Here is an 8,492-nt window from a genome sequence, read left to right on the forward strand (position 1 = left end):
AGAGAAAGCACACAGCAATTATGAGGCACTGAACTCAGTGCTGTCCTGTTAGAGCAAAAAGGAAAACTGGATCAAACTCAACTAATGACTGCCAATAAAGGGAGCATTTAAACCAGCCCTAGCCGGAGAAGAATCGCTTATCCCAGAGGTCCAAACTTGAGTCCCCACAAACTTCTCTACTTAGGGCCAAAGTGCTTTCAAGTAAACTTGAAAGTCAGTCTAGGCCATAAGGAATGCAACTCTTGGTTGAGTCTTAGGGCTGAACTAGGCCCAGAGCCAGAAACCTGGGGAGGCACATGACTCACTGACACTGCTGGGCAAGCCAAGAAAGTGCTGGCATTATCCTTCCTCTAAGCTCAAGCTGCACAGCTCATGGCTCCAAAACAGACCTCTTCCTTCCACTTGAGGAGAGAAGAAGGAAGAGTGGGGAGGACTTTATGTTGGGTCTTGGAAACAGCTCAGCCTCAGCAAGGTAGGGCACCAGTCAGAATAATGAGACCCCCATTCCAGTCCATAGCTCTCAGATAACATTTCTAGACAAACCCTGGACCAGAAGAGAACTGGCTACCTTGAAGGAAAGGACCCAGTCCTGCCAGCATTTATCATCTGCTAAATGAAGAGCGCTTGGGCCCTGAATAACCCACAGCAATACCCAGATACTACATTGAAGGCCTTGGTGAGCCTCTGAGACTTATGGGCTCTATGTAAGGCTCAGCACATTTCCAGTTGTGGTGGCTATGGGGCGACACTCCTGCTTGACAAAAGCACAGGGAAAAGTAAAGAGGACTTTGTCTTGAACCTTAGGTACCAGCACAGCCACAGGGCAGTAGAGCTGGATCCCAAAGAGGCTCCTGGGGTCCCTGATTTCAGGGCTTGATGCTGGCATGGCACTTCTGGACCCGTCCTGGGCCAGAGCAGAGCTCACTGCCCTAAAGGGTGAGTCCCAGGACAGGCAGAATTCACAGCAAGCTGACATAAGAGAACTTGGGCCTTAAGGGAACATTGGCAGTATTCTGGCAGTACTCCTAATGGCCTGGGGTAGCCACGGATATGGGATGAGGTTCTTCTGCCTCTAGAAAGGAATAGCAACAGTGGAAAAAATGGCATCTCATGGTTTGAGTGCAAGATTAGATTAGCTGCAGTATAATAGAACGCCAGGTAAGCTTTTCTAAGATTTATGACTCTAGTCTCTGACTCCTGGAGGGCTCTATGGACCCACAGGGGACTTAGGAAATTCACCACTCTGAAGGGAAAAACACAAGTCTGGCTGGCTTTGCTACCTGCTGATGATGGAGCCCCAGAGCCTTGAGAAAACATAGGTAGTAGCCATGAAGTGTTTACAGAAGGCCTTGGGTGAGACCTAGAACTGTGCTAGCTTCAGGTCAAACCTAGCACAGTCATAGTGGCGGTGGCCACAAGGTTGCTTATGTCACTTCACTCCAAGCTTTATGCAGCTCACAACAAACAGAGGAATTCTGCTTGTTTAGAACAAAGTAAGAAAAGAGAACAAGAGTCTTCTTCTGGTAATCCAGAGAATTCTACTGGAGCTTGTCCAAAAACATCAAGGTGATACATCAACGAGTAAGAAAGAACCACAGCATTATTGAGCTTAGGTTTCCCATAAAGCATACACAGCTTAGATCAAAACACTGAAGTCCTCCCAAATATCTGGAAAGCCTTCCCTAGAAGAATGGCTACAAGTAATTCTAGACAGTGAAGACTAAAATGAATACCTAACTCTTAAATGTTAAGACACTGAAGAACATCTACTAGCATCAACAACATCCAGGAAAATATGACCTCACAAAATGAACTAAATATAGCACCAGGGAAAAATCCTAGGGAAACAGAGATGTATGATCTTTCAGACAGAGAATTCAAAATAGCTCTGTTGAGGAAATGAAAAGAGATTCAAGATAACCTAAAGAAGGAATTCAGAATCCTATCAGACAAAATTAACAAAGAGATAGAAATAATTTAAAAGAACCAAACAGAAATTCTGGAGCTGAAAAAATGTACTTGGCATGCTGAAGAATGTATCAAAGTCCTTTAACAGAAGAATGGATCAAGGAGAAGGAAGAATTAGTGAGCTTGAAGACAGGCTATTTGGAAATACACAATCAGAGGACACAAAAGAAAGAAGAATAAAAAGCAATGAAGCATGCTTACAGGATCTAAGAAAATAGCCTCAGAAGGGCAAGTCTAAGAGTTATTGGCCTTAAAGAGGAGGTAGAGAAAGAGAGGGGTACAAAATTTATTGAAAATGATAATAACAGAGAACTTACCAAACCCAGAGAAAGATATTAATATCCAAATACAAGAAGGTTACAGAACATCAGACTTAATGCAAAGAAGATTACCTCAAGGCATTTAATAATCAAACTCCCAAAGGTCAATGATAAAAAAAGCGTTCTAAAAGTAGCAAAAGAAAAGAAACAAATAACATACAAGGGAGCTCCAATACATCTGGCAACAGACTCATTGGAAACCTTACAGGCCAGGAGAGAGTGGCATGACATATTTAAACTGCTGAAAGAAAAAAGCTTTTACACTAGAATATTATATCTGGAAAAAATATCCTTCAGACATGAAGGAGAAATAAAGACTTTTTCAGACAAACAGAAGCTGAGGGATTTCATCAACACCAGGCCCGCCCTACAAGAAATGCTAAAGGGAGTACGTTAATCAGACAGAAAAGTACATTAATGAGCAATAAGTAGTCACCTGAGGGTACATAACTCACTGGTAATAGTAAGTACACAGAAAAACACAGAATATTATAACACTGTAACTGTGGTGTGTAAAATACTTTTGTCCTATGTAGAAAGATTACACAGTTAACCAATTAAAAATAATAATTACAACTGTTCCAGGGGGTCAATAAAGAAATTAAGAAGGAAATTGAAAAATTCTTGAAAGAAATGATACTGGAAACACAACATACTGTAACCTATCAGCTAGAACAAAAGCAGTACTTGGAGGGAAGTTTGTTGCTGTAAACGCCTACATCAATCAAGAAAAGAATTTCAAATAAACAATTTAATGATGCATCTTAAAGAAAAGCAAAAGCAAACCAAAAACAAAATTAGTAGAAGAAAAGAACTAATAAACATCAGGGCAGGAATAATTCAAATTAGAATAAAAAATAATGCAAAAGGTCAGTAAAACAAAAAGTTGGGTTAGGTTTTTTGAAAGGTAAAAGAATGGAGAAAACTGTAGCCAGAATAACAAAAAAAGGGAAGATATATGTAAAATCAGAGATAAAAAAGAAGACATTACAACTGATACTACAGAAATTCAAAGGATCATTAGTGGCTACTATGAGCAACTATATGCCAGTGAATTGGAAAATCTAGAAAAAATGGACAAATTCCTAGAAACATAAAACCTACAATGACTGAACCAGGAAAAAATGCAAAACCTGAACAGATTAATAACAAGTAATGAGTTTGAAGCTGTAATAAAAAGTCTTTTAGTAAAGAAAAGCCCAGGACCCACTGGCTTCACTGGTGAATTCTACCAAACATTAAAAGAGGAGCTAATACCAACCCTACTCAAACTTTTCCAAAAATTAAAAGTGGAGAGAGTACTTCCAAACTAATTCCACAAGGCCAGTATTACCCTGATACCAAAACAAGACAAAGAACATTGAAAAAAGAAAACTACAGACCAATATATCTGGTGATTATTGATGCAAAAGCAAATCTAATTCAACTGTATGTTATAAAGATCACTCATCATGACCAAGTGGGATTTATCCCTGATTTGCAAGGATGGTTCAACAAAAGCAAATCAATCAATCTGATACAATCCAGTGGCCCCTAACCTTTTTGGCACCAGGAACTTGTTTCTTGGAAGACAATTTTCCCATGGACCCGTGGAGGGGGATGGTTTCAGGATGATTCAAGCTCATTACATTTATTGTGCACTTTATTTCTATTATTATTACATTGTAATGTACAATGATATAATTGTACAACTCATCATAATGTAGAATCAGTGGGAGCCCTGAGCTTGTTTTCCTGAAACTAGATGGTGCCATCTGGGGGGGATGGGAGACAGTGATAGATCATAAGGCATTAGATTCTCATAAGCAGTGTGTAACCTACATCCCTCAAATGTGCAGTTCACAAAAGGGTTCGTGTTCCTGTGAGAATCTAACGGTGCTGCTGATCTGACATTAGGCGGAACCCAGGTGACAATGCAAGTGATAGGGGGTAGCTGTAAATACAGATGAAGCTTCACTTACTTACTCATCGCTCACGTCCTGCTGTACATCCCCGTTCCTAACAGGCTACGAACCATACCATGGCCTAGGAATTGGGTACCCCAGTGGTACATCATATCAAGGGAATGAAGAATAAAACTCATATAATCATTTCAGTTAATGCTGAAAATGTATTTGATAACATTGAACATCCTTTATCATGAAAACTCTCAAAAAACAGGATAGAAAGAACACACCTCAACATAATAAAGGCCATATATGATAGACCTACACTAGTATCATAATAAATAGGGAAAAACTGAAATCCTTTCCTCTACATCTGTAACAAGACAAAGATTCCCACTTTCATCACGTTTATTCAACGTAGTGCTGAAAGTTCTAGCTAGAGCAATCAGAAGAAAAAAACAAAACAAAGATATACAGGGCATCCAAACTGGAAAGGAAGAAGTCAAATTATCCTTGTTTGCAGATAATATAATCTTACATTTAGCAAAGACTTGGAACCAATCCAAATGTCCAACAATGATAGACTGGATTAAGAAAATGTGGCACATATACACCGTGGAATACTATGCAGCCATAAAAAATGATGAGTTCATGTCCTTTGTAGGGACATGGATGAAACTGGAAATCATCATTCTCAGTAAACTATCGCAAGAACTAAAAACCAAACACCGCATATTCTCACTCATAGGTGGGAATTGAACAATGAGATCACATGGACACAGGAAGAGGAATATCACACTCTGGGGACTGTTGTGGGGTGGGGGGAGGGGGGAGGGATAGCATCGGGAGATATACCTAATGCTAGATGACGAGTTAGTGGGTGCAGCGCACCAGCATGGCACATGTATACATATGTAACTAACCTGCACATTGTGCACATGTACCCTAAAACTTAAAGTATAATAATAAAAAAAAAAGAAAAGCCTAAAGATTCCAAAAGAAAACTGTTAGAACGGATAAACAATTTCAGTAAAATTGAAGAATACAAAATCAATATAAAAAATCAGAAGTGTTTCTGTATCCAAACAGAGAACAATCTGAAAAAGAAATTTAACAAGTAATTCAATTTATAATAGCCACACATAAAATTAAACACCTAGGAATTAACCAAGGAAGTAAAAGATCTCTATAATAAAGACTATAAAACACTGATGAGTGAAATTGTAGAGGACACAAAGAAATGGAAAAATATTCCATGTTCATGGATTTGAAGGATCAATATTGTTAACACGGTCCTACTATTCAAAGCAACCTACAGATTCAATGAAATTCCTATTAAAATACCAATGACATTATTCACAGAAATAAAAAAAATTATAAAATCTATGTGAAACCAAAGAAGACCCAAAATAGCCGAAGCTATCCTAAGCAAAAAGAACAAAATTGGAAGAATGATATTATCTGACTTCACATTATGCTACAGAACTATAGTAATCAAAACAGCATTGTACTGGCATAAAAACAGACAAAAAGACTAATGGAACAGAATAGAGAACCCAGAAACAAATTCACCCACCTACAGTGAGCTCATTTTTGACAAGGTGGCAGAAACATACACTGGGGAAAAGACAGCCTTTTCAATAAATGGTGCTGGGAAAACTGCACATCCATATGCAGAAGAATAAATCTAGACCAAATATCTCACGTTATACAAAAAAAAAAATCAAGTAAAAATGTATTAAACAAACATTTAAATCTAAGACCTCAAACTATGAAACTACTGCAAGAAAACATTGGGGAAAATCTCCAGGAGATTTGGTCTGGGCAAAAATGTCTTGAGCAATAATACTCCACAAACACAGGCAACAAAAGCAAGCAGGAGTAAATGGAATTACATCAACTTAAAAAGCTTCTGCACAGCAAAGGGTACAATCAACAAAATGAAGGGACAACCTACAAAATGGGAGAAAATATTTGCAAACTACCTATCTGAGAAGGGATTAATACCGATATTATATATAAGGAGCTCAAACAACTCTATAGGAAAGAAAAATCTGATTTTAAAAATGGGCAAAATATTTGAATAGACATTTCTCAAAATAAGTCATACAAATAGCAAAAACGCATATTAAAAGATGCTCAACATCATGAATCATCAGAGAAATGTAAATAAAAACTATAATGGAATATCATTTCACTCCAGTTAAAATGGCTTATATAAAAAAGAGGGGTTATAATGAATGTTGGTGAGGATGTGAAGAAAAGGGAATCCTCGTACACTGTTAGTGGAAAGGTAAATTAGGGTGGAGATATAAATACAACTACTATGGAGAAAATTTTCGGATTCCTCTAAAAACTAAAATTTGGACTACCACGTAATCCACCATTTCTACTGCTGGATATATACCTAAAAGAATGGAAATCAGTATATCAAAGAGATCTCTGCACTACTATGTTTACTGCAGCACTGTTTGTGATAGCTAAATTTGGAAGCAAAGTAAGAGTCCATCGACAGATGAATAAAGAAAGAAAACATGGTGCTTGTACACAATGGAGTACTATTCAGCATAGAAAATAATGGGATCCTATCATTTGCAACAACATGGGTGGAACTGGAGATTATTATGTTAAGTGAAATAAGCCAGGCACAGAAAGACAAACTTCACATGTTCTCACTTATTTGTAGAATCTAAAAATTAAAACAATTGAATTCATGGAGATACAGAGTAGAAGGATGGTAACCAGAGGCTGGGAATAGTAATGGGAAGTTGGGGAGTGGGCAGGAAGTTGGTGATATTTAATTGGTACAATAAATTGTTATTGAGAATAAATAAGATCTACTATTCAATAGTACAAGAGAGTGACTATACTCAATAATAAATTGTACATTTTAAAATAACTAATCACTTCTTGGCCTTTTGGCTAAGATCAAGTGTAAGATAACTAAAGTAATGTAATTGGATTTTTTGGTAACACAAAGGATAAATGCATAAATGGATAGCTATCTCATTCTCAATATTGTGATTATTTTACATTGCATGCCTGTATCAAAGCATCTCATAAATTCCATAACTATATACACCTATTATGTACCCACAAAAATTTAAAAATTTAAAAAAATACTTGAATTGGCTCTCACTCTGTTCTTAACATTTGCTACAAAAGTAAATCTTAAGTGTCCTCAATGCATAGACACACACACACATACAGACACACACAATGTGCAACTATATGTGGTGATGAATGTATTGATTAATTTGTGGTAATTATTACCCAATGAATACATATATCAAATCATAACATTGTACAACTCAAATATATACAATTTTTAATGTCAATTGTACCTCAGTAAAGTTGGACAAAATAAAATAAAATACTTTGGAACGTTTGAATTATTTCTAAAATAAAATAAGATATATATTCTCAGAGAATGAATCAAACAAGACTCAAACAAAAATAACATATATGGAAATTTCTTTCATCATTTTTGTGAAGATATTGAAAATTGTAAAGCACTAAAATGATTGACATACTATAATGAATATTTTTCACACATATATGACAACCTGATAGCAAAGTGCAAAAACAACAACTAGCACAAAACTATTCTGAAAACCAAGATATGATTATGAGTAACAAGGAGAGGAAACTAAGTTAGATTTTGGTATCTCAGTATAAACGTTATACTAAGTATTTCACCATTTATCTTTCAAAGGTATTGCTTCTGTCTGCTCTGCCACACAGTTTACTGTCCCTGAAGGTTGAGTCATTCAGAGCTCACATGAACTTGTACTCAATTCCAATGAAGTGAAGGTACATGTTTATTGGAGATGGAAAAAGACTACTTAACAAGTATTTCATCATTTTCTACAGTCTGACTTAGTTTTCATTGAAAATCTAATGAATATATTCAAGCTCCAGGGGAAACCACAGCCAGCCAAGCAAATAGTAGATTTGAGTAAGAATCAGAGTTATTGCCTGTCTCACCTCTCAGCATGGGATGAACAGTTCAGAGCATTTTCATTTTCCTGTTTCAAAAAGCCTATCTTCTAGTAAATGAAAAAAAAATATCTCACCTAACTGATTTTGCATTTGCCCTTTGTTTTTGCATTGGCCTCTATTTTACATTTTTATTTGACATTTATTAGACCAAATTTTCTTATATAACTATTCAAATGTATAAGACAGAATTGACTACAGAGTTTTGTGATTATGGCTTCAACTAGGCTTTGCTCGAGGATATAAAATTATCCTTGTTTTCTTTTTTGTTTTTTTTTTTGTTAATCCTACAGTGTTTCCTATGGTGTACAGAGGGTTC

At 36.5% G+C, this 8,492-nt stretch overlaps 1 pseudogene; it reads left to right on the plus strand.

Moving 5' to 3' along the window:
* The first annotated feature begins 7,076 nt into the window (after window positions 1-7,076).
* LOC124905288 (uncharacterized) lies at window positions 7,077-7,240 on the plus strand (annotated as a pseudogene).
* Window positions 7,241-8,492: the final 1,252 nt, after the last annotated feature.

The sequence above is a fragment of the Homo sapiens genome, chromosome X (assembly GCF_000001405.40).
Source record: "Homo sapiens chromosome X, GRCh38.p14 Primary Assembly".
NCBI lineage: Eukaryota > Metazoa > Chordata > Mammalia > Primates > Hominidae > Homo > Homo sapiens.